The 27,142-nt window shown below is 46.0% G+C and overlaps 1 protein-coding gene across 42 annotated transcripts in view; it reads left to right on the top strand.

Moving 5' to 3' along the window:
- The window catches only part of GRB10 (growth factor receptor bound protein 10), a 203,386-nt gene that overhangs the window by 161,564 nt on the left and 14,680 nt on the right, over window positions 1-27,142 (top strand). For 41 of the 42 annotated variants that reach the window (XM_017012061.3, XM_047420243.1, XM_047420233.1 and 38 more), the window contains 8 exons: window positions 4,912-5,068; window positions 12,605-12,720; window positions 13,751-13,819; window positions 15,543-15,680; window positions 17,010-17,120; window positions 19,051-19,149; window positions 25,476-25,553; window positions 26,484-26,600. In XM_017012061.3, coding sequence (XP_016867550.1) covers window positions 4,912-5,068; window positions 12,605-12,720; window positions 13,751-13,819; window positions 15,543-15,680; window positions 17,010-17,120; window positions 19,051-19,149; window positions 25,476-25,553; window positions 26,484-26,600 — 885 coding nt within the window. The remainder of the gene's footprint in view (window positions 1-4,911; window positions 5,069-12,604; window positions 12,721-13,750; window positions 13,820-15,542; window positions 15,681-17,009; window positions 17,121-19,050; window positions 19,150-25,475; window positions 25,554-26,483; window positions 26,601-27,142) is intronic. The other variant, NM_001001549.3, reaches the window with a different exon arrangement.

The following is a 27,142-nucleotide window of genomic DNA, read 5'->3' as shown; positions in this document are numbered from 1 at the left end:
GCTCCAGTACTTTCCACCTCTGTGACATCGGGCAAGCTTTCTGCCTTCCAGAAATAGCTCCACCTCCTGTCAAAGGGGCAGAGACATGTGCGTGGAGTTAAGGCTTCCTTTGCCTTCCTGGCACAGCAGTCTTCCTGCTTTCTCCTCAAGGCCCCTCGGAGGCCAGGTAGGGTAGGGTAGGTCACCCAGAACAGGATTTCATCCACATGCACAACCTCATATCACGTCTTCGGGACCTTTTGCCTGCTTTGATAATTTCTCTTACCCTGTGAATGCCTCCACTTGGCCCTGTGATTACAACCTGGCTTCTCCAAAACATTTACCACGAGTATTTACCAGAGTTACTAAAAACTCCATTTTACATTACATCCTAAAAGAGCTTTTGAACTAAAAAGTATGCTAGATCATAATTAAGCACTGGGATGAAACTGGTCGCAAGAGCTGCTGGCCCAGAAGCCCTCAGATGTCTCGGTTTCTGTGTGAAGGTCTCAGGGTAGGTGTGGATCTCGGGTACTGTGGGTCAGTGTGTGCACCCTGGAGGCTGGGCCGTCTGTCCAGGGACATCTTATGCTGCAGAGGGCTCGAAGAGGACAAAGAGAGTGCCCCATTTGCTATTTTTACAAGGCGATTACTGCTGAGCCTTGAGCAAAGACTCACAGCCAGTCAGGAGGTCTTTTGGATGCAGTCATGAGATTCCCTGAGCCTGTAAGTTATCCAAGAGCAAGGTCTAAGACTGTGGCAGGAAGCAAGAGTGAGGGTCTGTGCTAAGATTGACAGCAAGGAGGGGCCTGAATGACTCCCACACACACAACAACCCCGTGGGGGCCACTGAGACAAAAAACCAGGTGCCCCAGAGTGGAGTTTGGGGCCGTGGAGATATAATGATCTACCTTCAACTCCAATTGTTCTTAAACTTCTTCCTTTAAGTTTGCAAAAAAAATTAAGCTCTTGCTTTTTTGTCTATGCAGTGAATATGTAAAAAGTGACAACAGAAAGTCTGGGAACAGTGGAACCTTCTATTAGCACTTCAGGGCTTTTATAACGGGATTCAGTGCCAAGCCAGCCAGAGGCCTGGGTAGCTTTGCAAACCATTCCTCCCCCAACTAACTCTAAAAAGACAGAGTTTCATGCTGTTGACATAATTATGCCCTCTTTAATATTGCCGTTTTATTTTTAAAAACAATTTGCTATTTAGGGGCTTTTTTGCAGTAGAGAGAAAGAAATTGAGGATTTGAGGGGTGGCTTTTCTGACTGAATTGTTCCTGCTGCATCTTAACTGGTCATGAGGTTTGCTTTCTCAGAACTGAAATCCTGAGTTGGAAGCAGCTTTCAGGGTCCTGCCCCTGCACCCTTCGGTGGTTGTCCACAGGCCTTCAGCTGGAGCCTGCCTTGTTCCCAGATCCACGGTGGATCCAAGCACGTCCCAGGGAGGGCACGTGTCAGGGGCCAGGATCTTTTCAAGAGGGTATCTCATTAATCCATGTCATAGCAACACTATGAGGCTGGTGCTGCTTACAGATTTCCATTTTACAGATGAGGAAACTGAGGCACAGAGAGGCTGGATAGCTCAGCCATGTTCCCACAGCTAGTTACTGATGAAGCATGGTTATGGCCAAGTCTGTTTCTAAGTTCCTCTTTGGAACCACCACCCCAGGCCAAGATAGGTCATAACTAATGTAGAACTTCCATACATTGATTAAGCAGTGTTTTGCTTACATTACTGATTCTCAGAGCAGTTCCCCACAGCTTGGATGAGGAAAGCAAGTCTTAGATTGCTAATTACCTATCCGAGGTCACAAAGCCAGTAGGAGGCTAAGCCGGGATAGAACTCAGATAGAACTTGTGGGTCTCAGCTTCTCACCTTTCCTGGTGTTACCAGATTCTTATATTCCCTAAACAAGTCATACCTTGGAAATTAACTGCCTGTGGTAACAATCTCCGCTCTGAACTGTGAGTTGCTGCGGGACAAGGGCCTTGACCTGCTCGAGAGAACCTTCTAGGCCCACCTCGTGTGAGATGCTTGAACACTGGATGGGCCAGGGAAACCCAGGCCTGCTCCGCAGGAGACCTGAGCCCCCAGCAGTGCTCAGGTGGTTACTAAAGGGGCAGTTGGTGCTGTACAGAATGCTCCTCCTAGAACTGCCAGCTCTAAAAGACTCCGTGGTCAGTGGCTGGCAGTACCCTGTAATAGGAGCCCTCGTACCTCTTGTGTTCCTTACAAACATTCTCATCAGTAGCTCTACGCGTTGACTGGGTGGTTTGAGATGGCTGGTATACACAGGGCTTTCTTGGTGTTCTGTCTCTGGGTCTTAGCTTTGTGTGTGGTTGGAGGGCCCTGGTGAGATTGGAAGTACCAGAGAGTGCTGTGTCAGGGGCAGAGGGGCCTGTCGCTGGAGCTGGAAGGTGCCTGCCTTTGTGTCTGACTCAGTCTCCTGTCTGCCTTGCCCCCTCAGGGTCTCGCCAGCCCAGCCTCTGTGGGAATCTAAAAGGAGTGGATGTGGACGTGTGACCAAGCACATCTCAGCTTTTAATACCCGGGCTATTTATAGACCTTTGGGGGGATGGCTGTGGAACAACAGGGGTTGGGGAGAGAGTTTAAAGAAAAATGCAGCAGGGCTGAAAAAAAAAATGAGAAAACCATTGGCATGGCTGATTTGAACAAGAAAAGTGGCAAAGAGACTTGGAGAGAGATGAGACACACACTTCAACATAATTTCACTTTCCTAGAGAAGATCATGTATCCTCAGTGCAGATAAGCTCATTGAGAGACTCAGGGAAGAAGAGCATTAGGAACCCTGATTTGGGTAGCAGAAGGCATGCACTGGTCCTGAAGACATTCCCTATGATGGTTAGCATATTTATAAAGCATTGTTGGAGCTCAGTTATATTTTCCAAATTCCTGTTTTTCTTTTATGTTAATGCATTTTAATAACATTCCTACCTAGGACCCAGAGACATGTTTTCTTCACTTAAATTGTATTTCTGTAGACTTATTCAGCCATGTCAGCTGTATTTGAATATTTTGCTTGTTAGGGGGAAGTATACTTTCATTGAGTGACACATAAATTCTGGAAAAGAGATGGTGGATTTCTTGAAAAATAAATAAGAGTTGAAAACAAGTCTCTGGGTCCTGATCCAGCCCCAGCCCTGGGATTTCTTTGAGTTGGAGAAGTGGCCCGTAGGTGGCAGGCAGGGGGCAGTGACCCTACCTGAGAGTGCAGGCTCCCCTGGCTGGTCCCCCGTCTGCTGGGAGGCTAACCTGCCCTCACAGAGAAGGGCTCTTCCGCTCTCGCTGAGCCCCGCCTCTACCACCCCCACCACCCCCACCTGGGCACTCAGGCTTGAGTGACATTGACTCCTTCCTGCCCACCGGGTGACAGCTGAGGGTAGCTAGCTGTAGGAGGGTCAAGAGGGTCCCTGTAGAATGGTGTGGTCCCAGTTCCTGATTAAGGTGGGGGCCTCCCAGCCCTTCCCTCTGCTGTCAGACTCCACGCCGGCCACAGAAATCAAAGTTCAGAGCAAGTAAGCACCCCCTTCCAAACACAAGAAAAGGGGCCAGAGAGAGCGGGGAGCCTCGGAGGGAGTTTGTCAGGACAAACTAACATTCTCACCCACCCTGCAGATCCAGCTCCAAAGCTGCCACTGACACATCAGTTGCGGGACAAAGATTATTTGGAGGTTGGCAGATGGGTCTGGATTCAGAGAACGCACGTGTTTCAGCCTCTCAGCTGCCTGTGTGTGATTTCACTGCCATGGGAAAGCATTGAGCGGGGGTTTTTCTGACCAGTTGGTGTGAGAGTTGTGTTGTTGCGGTTGTTGTGGTTGGCGTCCTCACCCCCAAGTCCGGGTCTTGTCGTATGGGAGTGGGAGAGCAAGTCCGTGGGGTGATTGCATCACTGTGGCTGGATTCACTCCCTAAGGGAGCCGGTGCAAGGCAGCCTGGGAGCCCAGCGGGTGGGTGGGTGGCCTCCCTGCTGCCCGGAGACAGCCTGCCCCCCAGGGCACACGCAGGCTCCACACAGCCAGCCTGGGACAGTGGGGAGAGACGGAAACACGCTCCCTTGCAAGAGGCAGTCGCAATTTAAAATGCCATCTTGCTCCTCTGACTGCTTTTTCCGGGCTGTCGAGGTAAGGATTTGTTAAACACACCTCGTGTTCTGGGAAGGGTGCATTGCTGCAGGGTCTTGCCTGGAAGGGATAGACTCCCGTCCTCTGGACTCTACTTCTCCATCCCTTGGCCTGGAGCTGCTCGGTGTTCATGGATTTGAACAGCACCGGGCAAATGAAGCTTGCTTGTAACTTTGTAGGGGTTAGGGGCTAAAGAATCTTGTGACTATGTTTTTATTATGCCCTTCTTTTGTATTAATTCATCTCCACTCCACCCTGAGCCTCAGTGTCTGTGAGGGGTGAGGTGCTGCGGGAAAGGCTGTAGGTGCCGCTGCTGGACCCTGTGCCCTGGGAGAACAGGTCGACTCGTCAAAGGTTATGATGGGAAGAGGGAGATTTACAGGATTTGTTGTTGCTTGCTTGTTTTTTCAATTGGTTCAACTGTAAAATGTCCAACCTGGAGACCACCAGCGTATTTTAAATGAATCCTGTGAATCCTGTCACTTCTTAAGACAGGTTTGGTGGTTTAGCCGTGTGCTGTATGTTCCCATGAGTTGTCCTGGGCATTTTAAGAGTATCATGTTGTAATCCTACCTGCTCTGCCCCCAGGAGGTGGGAAAGGGGAGATAGGGAGGAAGAGTCACATCCCTGCAGCTGGTGGGGACCTGTTGGCTGCCTGGAAAAACAGTTGCCCATGTGTTGGAGCACTACTATTTTTACTTTACCTGTTTTCTTTTGTTTCAGTTTTTATTTCTTGAAAGCCCGAAGTTGTTTATCTGTAACTATCCCCTTTGTGTGTTGCAGGATGTTAAAGTCTTTAGTGAAGATGGGACAAGCAAAGTGGTGGAGATTCTAGCAGACATGACAGCCAGAGACCTGTGCCAATTGCTGGTTTACAAAAGTCACTGTGTGGATGACAACAGCTGGACACTAGTGGAGCACCACCCGCACCTAGGATTAGGTAGGGAACCATCAGAACAGGATTGGCACCTGGGGATGCTTATGTGCAATTGAATGAAGACTGCTGCTGCCAAATGCCAAATGTGTGACCGCAGTGTCCCCTGCGAAATTAGCAGGCAGTCTCTGGGTTCCCCTCGACTCTCCTGTTTCTCCTAAAATTTCACTCTCCTCCCTCCAGCCCCTTTCCCCTAGTACTTTGGGAATCTTGCCTTGGATGGTTGAGGTAATAACTTGCCAAGGGCTCAGACATGGCGAGGTTCCCTGTGGCTTGTCCAGCCTCCCCAGCTGTCAGAGCCACATGGAGCTTGCTGCACACCTGTGGGCGGGGGACAGGAGGGAGGTGCCCTTGAGGTGCTCTGGAGAGAGCTGGCCATGCACAGGATTGCAGCTGCCCTTCTGAGATCAGCTCCTCAGCTCATGGGAAGAAGGGAGCCATGGTTATAGGCAGCAAAGTGCAGAGAGGTCCGCTGGGAATTGGAGCAAATTATGAAGCACTTTGCTGTAAGTTTGAGTTGAGTCTTACATGGCATCTCTGCCTGCTGGTTAATAAGGCTTTGAACAGTGTTCATGCACGTGTATATGTGTGTGCCCATGTCATGCCTAAAAAGTAAGAGAATATTTTGTATCACAGAATATTTGAAGATATTGACTCTTTACAGAACGTATTGAGGTATTTTGTTCAGGTGGCTTATTTTAGGTAAAAAAGCTTTTCAGACTTTTGCTTAAATTCTTATCTAATAAATATAGTTCTTACAAAGTCATAGTAAAATATTCAAAACCAAAATTTTCTCTAAATCAACAGCTATATTTGTTCCATGTCTTGAAGGAGAGAAAAATAACACAGATTGGAAACTTCCCATAGTTCTAAATTTTTCTCATGAACCTTTTTTGAAAGATTAATACATTGAATTTAAACCTCTAGGTCTGGAATACTTAATTTAAACCTCTAGGTCTGGAGTAGCATCCTTCCAGGTAATATTATACAATTTAAGCCTAAATAATGCAGTGTAAATTTGAGCTGACACCACCTTAAGTCTCTGTTTTCTAATGCGCCCTGTACTTTGGAGAGACGGTATGCTTTTTGAAGGAATTGGATAGAACTCTTGCTGGTTTCTTTCCCATCTCTATCAATTGCTAAACGCATTTGTGTGACGACAGAAGCCTTCTCCTCCATTGTCACTAACAGCTTTCTCCTGCCAGGATCACTTACTAGGTCCACAGTTAGTGACCATGATGTCACAGTTGTTCCCATGGAGACTAGCTGTCCCGTCAAGCTCCAGCTTGGGACGTCCATGAGTGGATCCTACAGTGGTCTGATAAGGCTGTCAAAAGCACCTGTTGACACACAAGTAACTTGGAAATTAGACAGCAGTGGGAAACCTTCAGCATGTGTCTCTACATGTGTATATATATGTATGAAAAAATATATATATATAAAATTTTAAAAACAAGTCTGTATAGTTTGACCCAAATACAATGATTATTGTTGAAAGCCCATTCACAAGTCTCAATATTCTTTTCATTTGAAAGAACTATGAAAAGGACTTCTGCGGACATTTAGTACTTGAATATAATTGGACACACTCAGGACACATAGAAATTGGGTACAGATATACATACATAAAATTTTAACATATAAGGAATGTTTCAGAAATTTTGAATTATCTATTTCATGTGATACCCTTTGATTTCTAGACTATCATATGGTAGATAAATAAATGATGCATTAAAACTTTAACCAAATGAAGAACCATTTACTCTGAGAGAATAGGAAAAGAAATGTCCATAAGCACACAGGATTTGTAGGGTTGTGATATTTACATACCTTATTTCTTTCTCTTCTTTATAGATGGACTTAATACATTCTAGTGGGCGATGACACTTTATTGTAAAATTAAGTATAAAAGGAAAAAAAGGGAAAGGGAAACAAGTGAAATGATTAAAAAAAAAAGAGGAATATTTGTGTCAAATTTTGGGTCCTGTTTCACAAAAAAAATAAAAAATAAAAAAATAACGAACCTCACACAGCCGGGATTTGAAGATACATGAAATTCCTTAGAATATCCTTCCTCTCCTTCCTCAGTTTTCTTTCTCACCACCAGTCCCGTTCTTATTAGTTACTAGGAAACACATTTTTCTGTTGGCTGGGTTTGCAGAGGACTTTGCAAGTTTTTAGAGCTACCAGTTTCACCAGCCTATAAGGTCAGTACCCCCAGGACTCATTCCCGTTGACACAGGGTTTCTGTGTCCCCATCCCTATAACTTCTCTGAATACTGTTTTGTGACCCAACCATATCACTTAACGTTTTTTAAAAAATTAATTTAAGTTGCTGTTTAACTAAAAATCTTATTTCTGCCATGATTTGGCAGCATTCAACTATCAGAAGCTCATTAGTGAGAAAATGCAGGGCTGCAGGGTGCCTCTCAGAGAGCCTGTTGAGTATCTCAGCTTTATCCCCGTTGGAAAGGGACGCAAGGGCCGCAAGGCCAACAGGGGCTTCTTCTTTATCATGGATGGTATTCCTGGGCCCTTCTGGCCCTCCAACTCTTAGGGCACATCCCCAGGCATTGCTGTCTCCTTGTAGAGAGCACTTGCCCAGGTAATTATATGTCAGGTATTCTCACAGGGATGTGTACATACGCCAGGCTGGTGGCTGGGGCAAAAGGCAGGTAGTGCTTGCAAGTCTATAAGGCAGATACTAAGGCAGATTGTAACCCAACCCCCCCATAATTGAGGGTATAGGGCACCCAAGTTGGACAGCATTTTAAGCCTATGTAGGGCCTCCAGAATTGAAGATTCCAAAGTACAAAGTACATTATTACTGATTGAGTATCCCTAATCCAAAAATCTGAAATCTGAAATGCTCTAAAATCTGAAATGTTTTGAGTACTGTTTTGATGCTCAATGGAAATGCTCATTGAAGCATTTCTGATTTTGGGATTTTGGATTGTTCAACTGGTAACTATAATGCAAATGTTCCAAAATTTGAAAAAAAATCCAAAAACCAAAGCTTCTGGTCCCAGGCATTTAGGATAAGGGATATTCAACCTGTATAAGGATCTTAACAGCTAAAATATCAGTCCCTTAATAATATTAAACCTTTTCTATACCCAGAAGGAAGTGATGGCTTTAGAAAAAGTGAGGGTAGTTCCCAAGATAGCCTGCAGCAGGTGGTTCCCTTTCTGCGGGAGAAAAGCACCATGCGTGGGTGTCTGCAGCCTGGAGGGCATCGCTCCTCTGAGATGCTGGTCACCCTCCATTGGCAGCAACAGTGGCATCCCTGCTGTCACTCGGCAGAGTAGCCCCTCTCGCTGAGGGTGGTTTTTCCTGCCCGCTCTGTGCTGCGCTTGTGGATAAGCAGAGAACGACTCCTATGAGCAGACTGAGGTCAGGTGGCCCTTCCCAGCGTTAGCTCCTGGGGACATTCACTACTGGACGCACTTGAAAAAGTTGTTGCAAAGCCCCTTGCCCTGGTAGGTGAAGCCCTAGTGAATGATGGTCTGTTTTATGATTCCCAGTTCACTTGTCCCTTTAAATGGTCCCTTCCTATGTTAGCACTGCCCCCAGGTTCTACCTGTTGGGGATGTTTCTCAGTCTCAGTGTCTGGAGTGGAGTTCTTAGCCATGAAAACACTGTCCCTGACCCAGGCCACTCAACAGCCGACAGTAAGTCCAGCTGAGGCTGCCAGAATGGGGCAGGTTTTTTGGAAGGTGTCCCCATCCCTTCTGCCCCGAGCATGGTGAGCTGCAAGTCTCTGGAAGGTTCACCTTAGCCAGGGCAGCTTCACACATGGAGGATGCAGTGATATTAAACAGTCAGCCTGCAGACATATCAAGTAAACAAATTATATTTTAAAAGATATTTTTGGCCAGGCACAGTGGCTCATGCCTGTAGTCCCAGCACTTTGGAAGGCCAAGGCAGGAGGATCACCTGAGCCCAGGAAGTTGAGGCTGCAGAGAGCTGTGTTTGCATCACTGCACTCCAGCTGCTTGACAGAACAAGACCCTGCCTCAAAAATTAAAAAAAAAAAAAAGATAAAAGGAATTTTGAAAAATACAAATTTAAACATACAAAACTAGTATCTTGATGCCCCCTGAACTTGAAAATGGGATTGCAGATAAACCCATCCCTGGGAATGTGGGGGGCACCTGGTGCCTGGGGCTCTTGCACCCAGGCCCCAAGTAACTGTAGACATCAGGCATACTAAGGTCAGATAATCTGGGAGAGAGGCTGGAACTTACACAGAGAACACAGTAAAGAGAAGAGGGTTTCCGCCAGATCTTACAAATTTCAAGGATTTGAGGAATTCCGTTGTCCTGAGAATTAGGTTGAAACAGGAAGAGCAACAAGTCCTTTTCGGGCTGTTTACAGCTTTGTGGTTGTTCCTGGTCAGATGGGAAACACCGTGGCAGTAACTCTGGAGGTCCTGTGGCTGCCACGCTGTTGGATGCTGACAGCTGGACATGCAGAAAGGTGTGGAGGGAGAAACAGCCGGCGCCTGTTGACTCTTGCTGATTAGAGGGGGCCTTTTGCAGGCTGGTTTTATGTCCCTCTCTCCCTTTTGTATGTGAAAAGCAACAAAAGATGTCCTTTCCCCCACTAAAATTTATAAATAGAAGTCCACTTACGGCCTTATCCACACGTCAGGGCTATCTCACTGATTACTCTGTTGACAGTTTCTTAGCCTGGGAAAGCCCTGAGCTTGCTGACAGCTCTTTTCTCTCCCTTGGGTGGGCTGTGCTGAGGAATGATGGGCAGGGAGTGGCCCAAGGGCTGCAGCTCGATGTGAGGCCGAGACAGTGGGGTGCACAGCTTCCGTGCACCGGCTCTGCCATGGCCCCTCCACTGCCAACTGGCAGCACAGGTTTCTGCCGAGGAGTCACACTTTAGCTGCAAGGGTTAAGGCAAGGAAGTAAGATTCTCTTTTTTGAGTTGTCTTGATATTTAAATATTTTTTCTTGAGGAGTAGAGTAATGCCAGCATTAGTTTCAGAAATTTGAAAAATACAAATGTACTTCAAGGAATTTTTGCCCTTTCCATTTCTTGAAATTATTTTTGGAATATTATCTTGAAAAGTAGTGTTCCCATTTAACTTAGGCCATTGTAATCATATGCAGTTTATAGATAGTGATGTGATTGTTTATAATCATGCAAGGTCATTTGAAAATACATATCTTTAAATCATGGAGAAAATTAAAACTGGAGGGAAGATCTTTGAACAGATGTGCAGTCGATGGCCAACTGGAACACTGGTGCCTGGAGCATTTGTGCCAGGGGCACTCAGCTGCATCCGGAGGCTGCACAGCTCTGGATCTCTGAGAAAGGGGTCACCTGCCACGTTGTGTTCACTGACCTGCTGTGAGTGACGAAAAGGGAGTTGATGTTTTGTTTGTCTTGGGACCCACCTCTGGGGATGGTAGGCGCCCTCTGGAGTCACCAGCCTCAGAAAAGCACACTTCTGTCAGGATACACAGTCAGTTTCACAGCCCACCGGTTATCCCGAGTTCCTGGGCCCCCCTTTGCCAGGGCACCAAGCCCTCACCTGTCCACCTGGATCTGACCACCAGGGACACGTCCCCCTGTGTGTTTACACTGCCATGTGCAACTTTCCCATGATCTTTCCAGGGGAGGCGCAGGGAGACAGGAAAGTATTGTCCACAAGGATGGGCGCCTGCGTGGGTTTGGCCACCCCCTTTGGGGCTGGTGGCTGCCCCAGGCATCCTCTTTGGCTCTCCTCAGGGTTCTTTGGAGACAAAATGCCCTTCGCTTTGGAAACAGACATATCCTCCTCATTTAGGTAGCTATCACCTCCCATTTTTATTTCTCCTTATTTTGCCTGATAAAAATTTTTAGTTCTGTAAATCAACCATCAACAGGTTATTAGATTGTTGGTTTTGGTTTTGGGTTTTTGTTTTTGTTTTTTCCTGTAACTACAGAAAGACATTTTTCTCTGAATAAACATTTCAACAGAAGTCATTGATTTGTTTTCCTTCTGGAAAATCCATTTTCAATGAATGAACCTCTTTTTGGAAAGCAAACGTAACAGTTTTTGTTGCATGTTCTTGGTTTCTCTCTTTTTCTATCATGGGGAGACATGAGGGCCACGTATTGGTTCACATGTTGCTAGCAGCATTCCCTCCCAGACAGGGACAAATGGGAACTGCTCCACACTTGGTGGTGGTGCCAAGTCTGAGCTTTCTGGCAGCCACGGGGAGAAAATTCCTTTCCTTCACAAACTCTGGCTTTAAATGTGTTTTTACCAAGGAATCCTTTCCTTGTAATGTCAAAACCGGGGCCGAGCACGAATCAGCTCCAGAATTTGCTTCTGCATGCCGGTCGGGGCTCATCTGAGATGAGTGCCCATGGCGACAGTTGTTCGTTGTAGACGGAAAGTCTTTTCTGCATTCTGAGATCACTTTGACTCAGAAATGCTTTTGCCTTTAACTTCATTCCTTCCTTCCAAGATGAAACTTTCCTCAAGATTCCAGTCTGGCTGCAGGAGAGGAGGGTAGGGTCTTAGGATAACAGAACTACCCTGGTGTCAATTCCATAGCATGTTAATCTGTACCATTTTGGCATCACTTCACACTTTGACCCTGCTGTACATTTGTTCATCTTGTTTATTCCATGATTTAATAAGGTTAGTTTCCCATGGCCACCATCCTCCCATGACAGTTTCTGAGGAGGTGCCTGGGAAGGGACGTAACTGCCATGAAAGGGAGCAGTGCGGCCTCTCTGGGCACACGCTGTTCTAGAGTATGCTGAGTTCTTCCCGCTCCACTTGGAACCACTGTGTTCACACAGTGAGGGAAGCGACTTTTCCCTTTCTGGGGGACAGTGCTGCTATGTAAGATGCTGTGAAGGAGGCGTGTGCGTACGTGCATGTGTGTGTGTGTACGTGTCCACAGCGGGTGCTGGAGGATGGAGTGTGTTTTCTTCCCTGCCTTCACGTGTAATTCGGTTGACAAGAACTATTCCATGATGTGCGTGCGGGCTTCAGTGTGAAAGATGAGTATGTACGTACAGTCTTGCTGTGCATCACGGCCTCTCCCACAGTACACAGCACCATCTTTTCTGGCAACCAAGTTTGATGTCATCAAAAAGCTTCTATCTCCTTCCATCTCTGCACCTTCTTGGTCATCCCCCTCCTCCACCTCTTTCAAGTTCTTTCTCCTTTGTCTTTGAATATTGTCTCACTTGTTATAGTCTTTACAAGAGTTGAAATTTCTCAATTTAAGGGCAAAATCATTTGCTAAGAGTCTTACGGGCTCATTCCTTAACATCTGGTTGATGCCAAATTCAAAAAGTATATAAAAATAAGTATTGACCTGAATTCTTCATGCTGTATATCTTAAGACCTCTTATGCATTTGGTAATGCATTAAAGAGAGATTTAAATTTAGTTTCCTTCCTGACCTCATCTTTATTCATAATGTTTAAAGAAGAATAGAAAGTTGAACAAATCTTCCATTTGGTTGTAAAGCTACCATGAATTTCCCACCTGTTGCGTCTCACACGTGATGCTTTGCCCCTGCAGAGAGGTGCTTGGAAGACCATGAGCTGGTGGTCCAGGTGGAGAGTACCATGGCCAGTGAGAGTAAATTTCTATTCAGGAAGAATTACGCAAAATACGAGTTCTTTAAAAATCCCATGGTGAGTCTTACCTCTTCAGGTTTGGGGTTTGGGACTCTTGAAATCTTGAAGTTTATACTTGGGTTTCATAGTATCAGATTAGAAAGTGACTGAGAGGCATGGTGTAGCATATGGGTTTGAGAATCAGAGTTGTAGTTTAATGAAGCAGTCCTTGCTTGAAACCCAGTCTCATGCTTCACTAAATGTGCGTGGGACTGGCTGAAGGTAGAGGTCTCCTTCTTCACATAGACACAGTGTAAAGGGGGTTAGTCTCTAAGACAGGAGCTGGGAGAGGCTGGGTGTTTTCTGTTATTTTGAAAGTTCTCAGTTGAACTGATCAAACACTTAGCAGAAGAAAAACTCATTATTCTCTGCAAATAGCAAATATATTTTGTGATCATACGTGGAAGAATGACTAGAGAAATCAGTGCGATTGGTTGGTGTCTTGAGCTGGTCACCTTGATCTCTCTTTTCTTTCTTTGGGAGAGGCACTTGTCCTGTGAGAGGCCAGGATAGGGAGGGCACCTCCTAGCTCCTGGGGCACTCGCTGTCATCCTGAGTCATGGGTCAGAGCTGCATCAACTGGGGAGAAGACCCAGGGCCATTTCTGACTCTGATAATGTAGCTGCTTTTTTATTCCAAAGTAAGAAATTTGAAGACTGTTTTTGGGGAATGCAGCAGAACAGGCTTTTCTCGTGACTGGGCTTACCTTTTAGTTTCAGGAATTCTTTATCTCACGCTGTGCACTTGTGCCACTGGGCTGGGACGCTGGCATCGCTCTTTGCCATGGAGCATGCTGTGAGACATGAATCCCTTAGTAAACATAGTTGGTATTCCACACTAGTACCCAGCATTTCAGGAAACAAAATACAACCTTTTGAAGGAGGTGTTTCTTCTGTGTGATAGGAGAATAAAAAGGACCGCCATTTTAAATACAGGTGTATGTAATTATACTGGTAGGAATAGTTTTAAAATTGACATATCTATATGACATACCTTCCCTCACTTTGAAGCTAACCTTTTACGTATTTGTTTTTTCCCATTTTCTTAGAATTTCTTCCCAGAACAGATGGTTACTTGGTGCCAGCAGTCAAATGGCAGTCAAACCCAGCTTTTGCAGGTACTGGGCCACAATAGATCTCTGCTGAAATAGACTTTCTGAATAGAAATCCTCTTGGAACTGAATGGCAGCATTGTAAAAAACCTAAAGAGATCGCATCTTTCACCATTTATAACCTTGGCTCTTAAGCCGGAGGGGTGGTTGGGGGGAGGGTTTAGAGTAACCAGAAATTAAAAGTTTCCTTGGAAAATCTGTGTGTAGCTGGGTTCCTTCTAAGCCAAACAGGCACTTACACGATGCCCTTGCTCTGACTTAGAAGAGTCCAGTGATGCCACTGCTGAGTGTGGGCCAGGGGGTGCATGGAGAAACCCCAGTCTCAGGGCTCCCTCCCCAGCTCCTTTCTGAGCAGGGGTCCCAGGTCAGGCCACCGCCTAGCTGCTTGGAAATCTCTGCAGAAGCACAGAGTCTATAGTAAAAGATGATCGGGTTACCACAACAGACTTTTAAAAGTAACTTGCCATATATTACAAATAAAGAAACCTGCTTTAATTGTCCTGATTCATAAAGTCTGTTCTAAGAAAACCTGGTCTCTCCCCACCTCCTCTTCCAGTGGAGGGAGCCACCAGGGCCTCTGTGCCCAGCTCTCACACACACTCCTCCGGGGAAGCTGGGAGTGGGGAATGGGAATGTTACAGCTACACCCTAAAAATGTGCCTGTGTACATGTTAAAAGTGAGAGAATAAACCATTTCCTAAGGCCACCAACAAGATCCAGGTGACATTACATGTAAGAGAAACTACTAAAATGTAGTTCCTACAGAATTCTCCTCATAAGCCCTTTTTCTACGTTGTTATCACCAAATTTGTTTCAGCATCTAAAAGATAAGAGTTTCAGAGCTCTGTTCTGGTGGTGTCTTCAGAAGCCCTTCTGACCATAGCATGTGTCTGTTCTGGCGAGAGGTGTCAGCACTAAGTTACCACCTATACACAGTGAACAGTGAAATAGCAGATTCTGTTTTAATTGCCTTGACTTTGAGAGGATCCATGCGCTTTGTGAAGATGTGCAGTGATCTCTTGAGACTCAAGAAGGACTGACCCAGGTGCACCAGGGCTCTGTCCGACGTGCCTTTCCCACCTGGGGGAAAAGAGCTTTGTCCCCTCCCAGTCTAGTAGCAGGACCTGCCAGCATCACCTCCCCAACTTCGCTCCATGACCTGGCCCTTGGCCTGTCTTCCCTTTGATGAAAAGCGTAGTTTCTTGTTTTGTTTTGTTTTGATAAAGCCTTTATTCTTAAGGCTGCCTGTGGGAAGAGTTAGCTGGAACAGGGGGACATCACCAGGATGTCCTGCACCTGGGTGCATCACTTGCGGACACATGACACCTTTTATGTGACCCTTGACTGGAGGGGTGCCTGGGTAAAAGTGGCCACTACATACTCACTGTCAGTCTCCAGAGTCCCAATCACTTGGTCATGGCACTTGCTCTTGCCCTCAGTCTGATATCAGACTGGATCCTTCAGTGCACTATCTTATAGGGAAATTCATGACTCGTGTTATCACCAGTGTTGGAAAGGTCCATTTGCTTGCATATGTTTAAATACGAATTATGTTCTATGCAACACGAATTGAGATGGGATTTTAAGACTTTGGAAAGGAGAACACTCTCATTTTGATCCAAAAAGGAGTCTTTTAATAATTCAGAAAATGTCAGCTATGCTGATAACATGTCTGCTTTAATTATTTTAGATTAGCATTATGTGATTTTAAAAATTTGTTCTTCAACAGAATTTTCTGAACTCCAGTAGTTGTCCTGAAATTCAAGGGTTTTTGCATGTGAAAGAGCTGGGAAAGAAATCATGGAAAAAGCTGTATGTGTGTTTGCGGAGATCTGGCCTTTATTGCTCCACCAAGGGAACTTCAAAGGTGAGCTTTAAAAGCTACCACCACCAGCCCTAATTCTGCCACAGTCACTCCCCCCAGGTCCTCAGAGTGAACCTGGGCTTCATTTTTAAATGCACCTTAGACTCCTCCAAGCTCAGGACAACTTCTTAATAAGCTAATTGTGCAGCAGCTGAACTTGGAGTCACAGGTTTCCTGGTCTCGCTCAGAAACTAGGTAATAAATAATACAGGCCTAAGAACCCCACCTGCCTAGCCCCACCCCCACTGCGGGTTGGGAGCAGACACCCCTGGCTGCCCCATCACTTCAGAGACTGGCCTAGTTCTCATAAGTTGGGATTTAAGCTAGCTGTAAAGATGTTTGATAGACTATTGCCACCCTAATGCCAGTGTAACTTTATGTATCATAGATATTTCATGAAATAAACTGCAGGCTTGCATGTATCCCCAGTGAGAAGAAGGTGGGAGATGGAAAACAGCTGCAGGCCCTCAAAAGAGAGCTTAGGCCGGAGGCTCCTTTGCTCCCATGTACACTCTTGTCTGCTCTCTTCTTGTGCTGTCCACATATACCCTGTGGCAGGAGCCTTGTCCACCCAATACCTGGCTGAGCACTTACCATCTGAGGGCTGTGGTCTCTTTTGCTCTGGCCAGCAGAGGTGAAAGGGAGCTGGCGGGACCCCAGCACAGGTGTTGAGCATCTGGGAACCGGCTCTGGGAAGGTGTTGGGGCCGGCTCTGGGAAGTCAGCAGCTGCCGACACCTGGGCCAGAGAGAAGGGGCGTCTGCAGAGAGGGGCTTTGAACTGACACAGGGCATGGTAGCTTCCTGACCTCCCAGCTCTGCTGTGTGGCCCGCTCACTGTCCTCGTGTGTGCTGAAGTTGGGAGGGTATTTCGTAGAGCAGGAAACAGAGCTGGGCTGGAGAGTTGAGGAGGAGAAGGGTGGGACAAGCAAGCTACCAGTGGGAAAACCCAAAGTACGGTTGGACTCTGGACTCACAACAAACCAAAGGCAGACAGGCCCTGTGCTCTTAACTCTGACCTTTGGGTTATAGATTTTCTCCTGCTTTTTATCTTGAATATCCGGTCATGGGGCTTTGATTTGCCAGAAGTATCAAATACGTTCCAACAGCCTTGTGTGTCTGAGAACTGGGGAAGTGGGTGTTTTGGGTGAGACTGGGTGAATTTGGTTTTAGTTTAGCACTTATTACACCTCGCGTAATAATCATATGTAATATGTATAGTGTCATCGGGGAAAGTGCTTGTAAGTGTGCAGAGACTGCCCTCTGTCTACCAGAGGTGAACACATTTGCTCTTTGCTGTGCTTGAGACTTTAACCTGGCCAGTGTTGTCACAGGAACCCAGACACCTGCAGCTGCTGGCCGACCTGGAGGACAGCAACATCTTCTCCCTGATCGCTGGCAGGAAGCAGTACAACGCCCCTACAGACCACGGGCTCTGCATAAAGGTACCCACGAGCTGTCCACAGACGGCGCGCATGCTCAGCAGCCCACAGGAGACTGACTTCTTCTCTTGCCCAGCACTTGATTGTTGCTTCTATTGTCTTCAACAGAAACATAGTTTCACACTGGATTTATCCATTCCTGTAAAAACATTTATTGTACACTTGCTGCTATCAGTCCTTGAGTAGCTCAGAAGCTCAAGGACAAGCAGACAGGGATGGATAATGTGGCTAGTGGGCTCAGTGTTTTAGGGAGGGTGGCTTTTGGCATCAAAGGGTGGGCTGTGGCTGTAGCCCAGTACTAGTAGCTGGAAGGGGAGGTGGGGCAAGGGAGGGGACCCCCAGCCTGTCACCTGGGTTGCCTGCATGGTACTGAGTGAGCTGATGGCTTCTGTGTGGGCCTCTGGCTGTGGGGATGGTCAGACAGGAATAGACACAATGCTGCCCACCCTCTGCATGCATGTGTGTGCTGGCATGCACACACACGTGTGCACACACATCTACATGCACATACCCACACGTGCATACATACATGTATAGACATACACCTTTGTGCATACACACAGGTATAGACATACACCTTTGTGCATACACATACATTATACACACATGTACATAGACACACATACACATGTGCACACACCTATAGGCAGAGCCCACTCCTTTTCCCCTGATGAGGTTGTGGTGGTATTAATAATCATAATGGTAGATGATATTTACTGAATGCTTACTGTGCATGATATGTTCCACTGACAGTTTTACATCCATTATCTTAATCTTCACAGCCCCTTGTGGGATAGGAAGTTGGCCACATTGCCCACATCCAGTAGCCAGTGAATAGTTGTGCTTGGAGTTTGCCCTGTAGGCTGACTTATGAGCCATAGCCCAAGCCACATCCCGAGAACACACAATACGGGGAGCCCCTCCTTAGGGGAAAATTTCTTTCCAAAATATCACCTCATACCTTGCTCAGGGAATACTCTTTCGGTTATAAGTAATAGGCGTCTAATTCACACCAGCTAGAGGCCCAAGGCAGCCTCAGGCGGGGCTGGAGGTATGAGCAGCAGCTGGCACTCTCCCTTCCCACCAGCCCACACCAGCCATGCTTGCCTGTCTCTGCAAACGCAGTCTCTGCTTCTCTCATAGCACCAGCCGAGCGCAGGGTAGTCACACCTGTCCCTCAACCCCTCCAGATTCTTGGGAGGGAGAGCTGGGGTGTGTCCAGCATTGTTTCTTGAGTCTGAGGTCGGGGGTTCTTCTGGAGATGCAGGTCAGTTTATGCCTGCAACAATTCTCCTCCCTCACCAAAGGGCCCTGCCTCTGGAGGGGCACCTGTCTTCTCCCCATGGTGCCTACTTCCCCTTCTGTCTCATTCTCCAGAGCCAACATCAGTCTCCCTCTCTGGACCTTCTACTTGGGGTCTGATCTTGGGGCTGCTCAGACATCAGAATCCCTGAGCTCCTCAGGGGTTGCCCCTCTTGGCTAAGCCCTGCAGCAGCCCCTCCTCTCAGTGGCCTGGGGGCAACTTTAAGATCTCTCCTCCTGTAAGTCAGAAGGCAGGTTCTCCTCCCATAGAATCCAGTCCGTCGACAGAGTTAGATGCCTCTTCCTCTTTGTCCTATTGTGCTTACCACATTACGTTGTCCTGTGCTAGTTTGTTTTTCTGTCTCCTCTGAAGTTCCCAAAGGATGGCTTATTATTCAGCTAAGTGGTACACAACCTGGGGCCAGTCCATGGTAGGCACTTAATAAAGTCTTGTCAGGAAGGTGGATGAATGAACGCTTAACACACAGGTGTGTGTGTATCTGCTGTGCTCCTTGCTAGGGGGATCTCCAGCTGGTTGTCTCTGGTTTGTGTCAGATGCAGCCCTGCCTTGACAGAAGCTGTTTCTGACTCCCTGTGTAACACTAACAGGACTTTCTTTTACCTCCTGTAGCCAAACAAAGTCAGGAATGAAACTAAAGAGCTGAGGTTGCTCTGTGCAGAGGACGAGCAAACCAGGACGTGCTGGATGACAGCGTTCAGACTCCTCAAGGTATGTGACATCTTGCGGTTTGTGTTGAGTGCACATCTCTTCGTGGAAAATTGGCCTCTGGACTTGATGTCTATTCTGGCAGGAAAATGCTCGTAACTTTTCCGCTGTTCTGTCACAATATTTTATTTATCAAATGTAGTTAAGCATCTTTCTAAACAAGATCTCAGGAGCTTTTAACAGAGGGCCTAATATTAAACAGGGTAGAGCTAGGTTTTCCGGACTCAGTACTACTGACATTTTGGGTAGAATAATTCTTTGTCGGGGGTCTGGGGGACATCCAAGCATTGCAGGCCACTTAGATGTGTGGCATACCTGGTCTCTGCCTGCTAGATGCCAGTCGCACGCCCGGCCAGTTGAGACAACCAAAAATGTCTCTAAATGTTGCCAAATGTGCCCTGAAGCCAGAGGATGGGGAATTGCCCCTGGTTGAGACCACTAGATTAGAAGAATAGGATTCGAAAAATCAGGACCAGGGAGAAAGGAAATAGTACATGAGGTGTTAATTATTTTCACGACTGAACCAACTCTCAGGTTCCCAAAAAGCCAGGGCCATGAAGTAAACATGATGAATTATACAGTTGACTGAAGCTCCTCAGCAGAGACAGTACCTCCTGACTGTAAGTTCTAAAGGAAATTTATCACGTGGTACTGCATATAGAGTAATGCCCTTGACAGCAATTTCATGCCAGTTGCCAGAGTGATTTCATAGGGCTGTTTACTGTAGTCACTTTGGATTTCCCACAGTGTTTCTGTGCACATATACCATATCCCACATGTCTGGAATTAAGTCTACAGAGTCCTTGTGAGTTGTAAGTTAGCTGGCCCAGGTGAGCTTGGCTAAAGTCCAGGGGTCTCCATAGGAGATGTTCGTTTAGTCAACTGGAGCCAATGGATACAATGGTCTAGGGATTTCTTTACAAAAACTCCCAGCCTTCGTTGAACTGTAGTGGCCTTTGAGCTGGTCCAGAGACTCAAGGTGAAGTCAATTAAGGAGATGGAGGAACTGAAGGAAGCATAGCTCAAAACTTTCCTGGAGGTGCTGCAGATCCAATTCTGAATGTAGTCCTGTTGTCCCATCCACTTGGCAGGTAGCATTTTGCACCCAGTAATCCACAGATTCCAGAGACATTAAGGATACATCCTAGTGCCATTTTTATAGGATGCTGGGGCCCAAACCAAAAGTTCCACAGATTGGCTTCCTGTATCTCTCTCCCAGAACCTTATTTTATGTTTTCACTGATTAAAAAAAGAATTATGGAAATCAAAACTTTACAAATTCATAATGGAAGAGGAAATGTCCATGTTAATACATCATAGATCATAGACCACTCCTGTGTAAGCCGGTTTTCAGTGTAAGGGTCATCAGTGGGAACTGGTCACATAGGTGACATCCATTGAGGGCAGTATTCTGCATGGACCTCCAGAAAGAATGAGATTGCTCTTTGTGTCCTGTTGCGGAAAAATTACTAACAATTAAAAAGCAAAGTACAGAACAGTATATAGAGAGAAGGCTACATTTGTGTGAAGGGAACAGGAAAAATTGGAATATTTGTATTTGATGGTATGCTCATGAACATTGTGTGAGCTGCAGGAGAGAAGAAAGAGGTTGCTTAGTAGGGAGAGGAGATGGGAGAGGCAGCTGTGCAGATAGGGGCAGCGGCCAGGGGTGATCTTTTGAAGCTGTCTGTATATGGTTGAAATTTTAATCTGCAAATGAATCATCTGTTTTGGAAAAGGCAAAAAAAAAAGGAAATGAAAAAGGAAAGTGGTAGTATACTCCAAGAAGCTATGAATTCTATTACTTTGGGTAATATATAATAAATCCAAGTATCAGGTTCTTAACCACTGTTTCTTGGGTGTCTCTCCTTTGTTGCGCTAACATAACGAGCCACAGGAAAGGATGTGGGCAGAGTGACTAATGCAAAACGAACTGACTTTATTGTTGTCAGTGTTAACAATGATGTGTTACATAATATTAAGATTTTTTTGAGCATTTGCTATGGGCCAGGCATTCTTTATCACTTTACTGTTTGTGACAGCTCAGTGACATGCATATTATCATCCTCATTTTGTGGATGACAAAACTGAGGCCCAAGCTGTAGCTGCCACGATGTGGCAGAGCAGGGTCAGAGCCCTGACATTCTGGCCCCAGAACCCCTTTCCTCACTACCATGCTTTGCTGCCCTCCCTAGAGCCACCTGGAAGCTGCCGTGAGTTCTGAATGCATTCCTCTTGTCCCAGCCACTTTGCAGGGAAGCACTTTGCATCCAGTGATACACGGATTCTAGAGTCATTAAGGATACGTCTTAGGTACTATTCTTATAGGAGGCTGGGGAGCCAGACCTGACAGGAAGGTGGCAGTGATGGCCTCGGGGCCGGTCTCAAGTGGAGTGCAAGTGATGTGTTTCTGCCCCAAATAGCCATAGGATTGTAATGCAATCGAAACGCCATTTGAGTGTTGTCGGCACTGATTCATTGCCCACTATACAGAAATGATAACCGGGATAGAGTTAGGGACAGTGGGGAGGTAACTCTTTATGACTCCAGGGTCTCCATGTTGACATTCATTCTAAAACAAGGCATCCCGTGTGTGTGCTCTGCCTTCCTCCAGAGGAGGACACAGGACACCGGATCCCCTTTTAGAGGATAAGAGGGTCTGAGGGCTGAAGTTGACAGGGCCCTTTTACCATCTACTACAAACAGCATCTTCATATCAACCATGGAAAGGCAGAGCTGGGTTGTTATTTTGAATTAACCTAGGACCTTCTTACATCTTTACCTACACAGATACACTTTCTTGAAAAAAATGAATAAATCTTATAACTTGGGTCTACATAGGAGAAAGCTGGCATGGCTTTACTTAGCTTTTCAGAAAGATGCTCTTAGTAGCGCCAGCAGATAATCTTTTGTCTCATTTCTTCCTGTTACATTGTTTGTTAGGTAATTTCTTGGAAGCTGTAGGAGCTGTGTGAATAGTATTAAAACTTTGCAACAATTATTTATTGCCATCTTTCCTCCTCCCTCTGTCTTCTAGAAGTCTCTTAATCTACTGTAGAAACTCATCCCCAAGAGGGAGGTCTTGCCTCATCCACACAAGAGTCCCTAGTACTGATTGCTTTGGTTTTACATGACCTGACATTGAAAAGGCAATGAACGCAGCATTAAACCTTTGCAACAATTATTTATTACCATTTAATCTTTTCTGTCTACACACACCCATATATGTAAATATATACATGCAAACATGTGAATAAAATAAAATGTGTATGTTATTAGGTACCCAAAATTGAGAATATTTGTATCTTCCTGGTATGTCAATTCTAAGACATTATAAAATATGCTTTATTAGCAATGCTCCTTGCCCCAGAGTCTAATCTGGCACATATTAATTTATTTAATGATTTTTACCTCAGCTTTGCTTCATTACACAGTTTTTCTTGGACCATCTTTTTTCTACTTTTCTGGGTCCTTATGTTTAAGGAATATCTCTTATAATCACAATGTAACTATTTTACTTTGATAATCTTTATCTTTTAACCAAAATATTTACTGTGATTTAATTGTATTATTTAGTGTGATAATCATATTTGTATTTGAACCTGCCATTTGCAGTTTTTTCCAGGTTGTCCCACCTCTCTTGTATTCCTTTTCTCTTAATTTTTTAGATTTATTAAGTATATTTATGTTTTTCCCTCTGTTAACCCAATACGTACATGTACATTTACTATTTTCTCCTGGTTACCCTAGATATCACATCTTTTTTTTTTTTTTTTTTTGAGTCAGGGTCTCACCCTGCCTCCCAGGCTGGAGTACGGTGGCATGAGCTCATCTCACTGTAGCCTCAACCTCCCGGGCTCAAACCATCTTCCCACCTCAGCCTCCTGAGTAGCTGGGACTACAGGCATGCACTTCCATGCCCAGCTAATTTTTGTATTTTTTATAGAGACAGGGTTTTGCCATGTTGCCTAGGCTGGTCACAAACTCCTGGACTCAAGCAATCTGCCTGCCTTGGCCTCCCAAAGTACTGGGATTACAGGCGTGAACCACCGCGCCCGGCCTAACATGCCCCTTGAACTTATTAAAATCTTTTATAATGTAGTACATTTACTGACTGCTTTCAGGCAGGCATGAGGACCTTTCACTCCATTTGCTCCATTGTCCCTTTTGAAGGATTCTTGTCATATATATAAAACCTCTTAAGACATAATGTTATTGTTTTATATACTCTTTAATCACCTACATCTTTGCACTTTAATATTTCCTAAATTTGCATTCTTCTCTCTGGGACTAGAAGACCTCAGCTTAGCGGTTCTTTTCATGTGGGCCTGAGAAATTTTCTCACTTTTTGTTTCACTTTCATTCTTGAAGGAACGTTTCACTGGTTATAGGATGCAAGGTTAGCGGTTATTCTCTTCTGCATCTTCCCACTGCATTGTCTTCTGAATCTTATAATTTATGTAAAAACATTAGTTGTCTGTCTTCCCATTGCTTCTGTGAAAATAATGCACGTTTTCCTCTGGTTGTTTTTGACATTTTCTTTGTGTCTGTTTCTCAGCAATTTTTCCATGATATATGCTCGGAGCGGGCTTACTTATCCTACACCCTGAATCTGTAGCTTGACGTCTTTTTGTCAACTTTGGAAAGTTTTTGGCATTATCTCATCAAATATTTCCCCTGACCTGTTCTTGCTCTTCTCTTGCTGGAGTGCAGTCGTTCCTGTATTAGACCTTTGCATCATGTTCTAGGTATTTTTATCTTAGAAATGAGTATGTGCCATGAGACCTAGAGCCAGAACTGAGCTTAGATCCCATGAAAGAAGAGCTGTCCCACTTGATGACTTCACTTCCTGTTTCTGACTCTTTCTTCTTCTCCACATGGTTGGAATGTGTGATTTGGGTGTGTAGGTTGGGATGCTGGATGTGTATGAGACTTTGCAGGGCCCTGAGTCCTCATTGCCAGGATCAGAAAGTGCAGACTACTGAGCCAGTTAGGTGGCAAGCCTCAGCTAGGGAGGGCACTGGGTCTGGAACAGGTCGTGTACGTTCAAAGTCGTGACTGCGGGCAGCTTGCCTCATTCCTCTGTGCTTCAGTTCTGTGCTCTGTAACATGGGGATAATTATAGTGTACAGCTCATAAAATGGAGAGGATTAAATGAAATAACATAAAGCACTTAGACACATAGTGTCTTAGACATATTGAGCCCATAGTGGCACTCAATAAGATTACTTGCTCTTGATGTTATTATGTTTGTCACTGTCCCGCTTATTCCAAAACCAGTCAGCTCTTCCCTCCTGAGGGGCCACAGTAGCAGCAGCACTGAGGCATGCACCATATTGAATGTGAAGTTGAATGATTTGAACTGTGCAGGTCCACTTAGAGATTTTTTTATATATATTAATCTATTATATAAAGTTAAAATTTATCAAAACTGAATGCATGCAAACACAGACTGTATATGGCACCATTTGTAGTCAAGAGATGTAAACAAACAAAGATGCGGATTACCTCAGAACTGCATAAAATTAACTATAGTCCCTGCTGTATTACTCTCATAATTTTGTAGCCACCTCCTGTTGCTAGTACAGTGAACTCAGATGTTGGACATATCCATTTAGAAACCCACCTTGTGTTGCTAATTATCTCCCCATGAGCAGGTCCTCTCTCCAATAAATTGCATGTTGTAGTAAAAAAATGGGCTCATGTTTCTGGAGTATTTTTCGTTGTGTGTAGTGCAATACAGGAACTTTAAAGAACACCATGGGACCCATGTGAAATGCCACTAGTGAAGCTGGAAGTGCGCCCAAGAACAGAGAAAAGTCACGACATGACAAGAAAAACTTAAATTGCTTGATACATACTAGAGATTGAATGGTTGCCCTCCACACCACACAGATAATTCATTGTGTCAACATGTAGACTTACAGAATCGAATGCAGTACAGTCCCATAATTGTATTGTCTCTTATGATTTTCTTAATAACATTTTTTTCTCTAGCTTCCTTATAAAAATATGGTGTAGAATACATATACGAAATATATGTTAATTAACTGTTTATGTTATCATTAAGGCTTCTGGTCAACAGTAGGCCACTAGTAGGTAAGTTTTGGGGGAGTCAAAAGCTATACTCGGATTTTTTATTTCAAGGGGCGTCATTGCTCCTAATCCCTGTGTTGATCAGGGTCAGCGGCACTCAGGCTCCTGGAGGCTGGTACAGGGCATCACTCCCTGTTCCGCACTCAACATTGCCCTTTCCTGCTGTGGCGTTTGTCACATGCCGGGCCTCGGGGCTCCCGGGCCGGTGACTAACTGTGGCTTCTCCTCTCCAGTATGGAATGCTCCTTTACCAGAATTACCGAATCCCTCAGCAGAGGAAGGCCTTGCTGTCCCCGTTCTCGACGCCAGTGGTAAGTAAAGCCAGGAGCTTCAGAAGTCTAGTGCCTTTTCAGCTTCTGCATCACATGTGTTAAGGACGCCTCATTTCACACAGGGTGGGCAAGAGAAGCTCTGGAGAGTGTGTGTGCATTTCAGGGAAGCCAGTATGTCCCACGATGACGTGGGTTTTGTAGTCTCAACAGTGCAACGACAGGGAGTGAATTCCTCTGCCGTTCTTCTCCCGTCCCTGCATCTCCCCTCAGGGTTGTGTAAGTAGGTGGCTCTCTTTAAGTGCTCAAAAATGGCAGCAACAACTTCTGGCCTTGTGGGGTACTGCCTTTCCTGCCTTTCGCTTTTGTTCCTTAAACCTTGGGACCCATGGGAACTGTTGACTATTAACGCTGCATTCATTCCCTGGTGAGAATTTAGAGATTGTCATCGTTCCTCTTGTGTTCTGGGCACTCTGTTCTCAAAGGAGCAGAAGCACTTCATCTTCTCAAAATACAGTCCTGAGGGTCCTTCAGCATCTGCCCCTTTGAGATGCCAAATGGTGCCACAGAAAGGGTCCACGAGTTTTCCTGAACCCACGTCCCCGAGGGAATGACTCACTGGGGAGGCCTAGGCTCACCCTGGCTGTTGATTTCTTTGATGTGTTGGAGTGCAGGTCAGGAGCCTGTGAAGGACCACATGGTCCAAATGCTGCGGGTGCCGGGGGCCTCACCAGCAGCCTTTTTAATACTCAGGGAGGACTAGAATGTGTTTCGTTCTTAAGAAAAACTGAAGGGGCCACTGAATTTTCAGCCTGAACCGGTGAATTTCCCACCTGAAACTTGGGGAGTTCAGAGGTAGAAAGCAGGCATTCCCTGCTCCCCTTTCCTGACCGTCTTGATGATAGTTTCATGCCAAGACTCCACTCTGCCTTATTTCCCTGCATTTTAAGAACTGCGGCCTTTCCTTTTCAGCGCAGTGTCTCCGAGAACTCCCTCGTGGCAATGGATTTTTCTGGGCAAACAGGACGCGTGATAGAGAATCCGGCAGAGGCCCAGAGCGCAGCCCTGGAGGAGGGCCACGCCTGGAGGGTAAGGCCCCGGCCCTGGCCAGCCTGGAGGGGCACCCTCAAGGTGGTAGCCCCACCACGTGGTCTTCTCCCAGAGGAACAGCTCTATGCGGGTTGGCAAGAGGGGTGCCATGTTGGGTGGGGTGAGTTCTCAGCTGCAGGAAGCAGTTGGCCCTTCTAGGCCCCTTCCATGTTCCCAGCACCCAGCCTTTCCCCGCTGTCCCCTGTCCCCTGGGCTTTCATGGAAGGGACAGGAGAGGAACAGAGTTCTCTGCCCTCCGTGGCTCCTATGCAGAACTGTTCTGCTGATGAACTGGCAGTGGCTGTCTGTGGAGTGCACAGAGCCCAGGCCTGAGTGGGGCCAGCAGGTGCTCACATCAAGGTCTGCTACTAACAGCCTGGAGGCCTTGGGCCACTCCCTCACCCCTGAGGCTTAGGTTCTTAATCTCCAGGTGGGAAGACTATCACTCGGCTTCTAAGTCCTGAGACTTAAAGGCCATGTGCAAAGCAGGAGCCTGGACTCTGGCATTTTCTGTACTTCAGCCTCAGGGGATGGGAAAAAGA

The sequence above is a fragment of the Homo sapiens genome, chromosome 7, assembly GCF_000001405.40.
Source record: "Homo sapiens chromosome 7, GRCh38.p14 Primary Assembly".
NCBI classification, from domain to species: Eukaryota; Metazoa; Chordata; class Mammalia; order Primates; family Hominidae; genus Homo; species Homo sapiens.
Note: the sequence above shows the minus strand (reverse complement) of the source record. Positions and strands in the feature narration are given on the sequence as shown.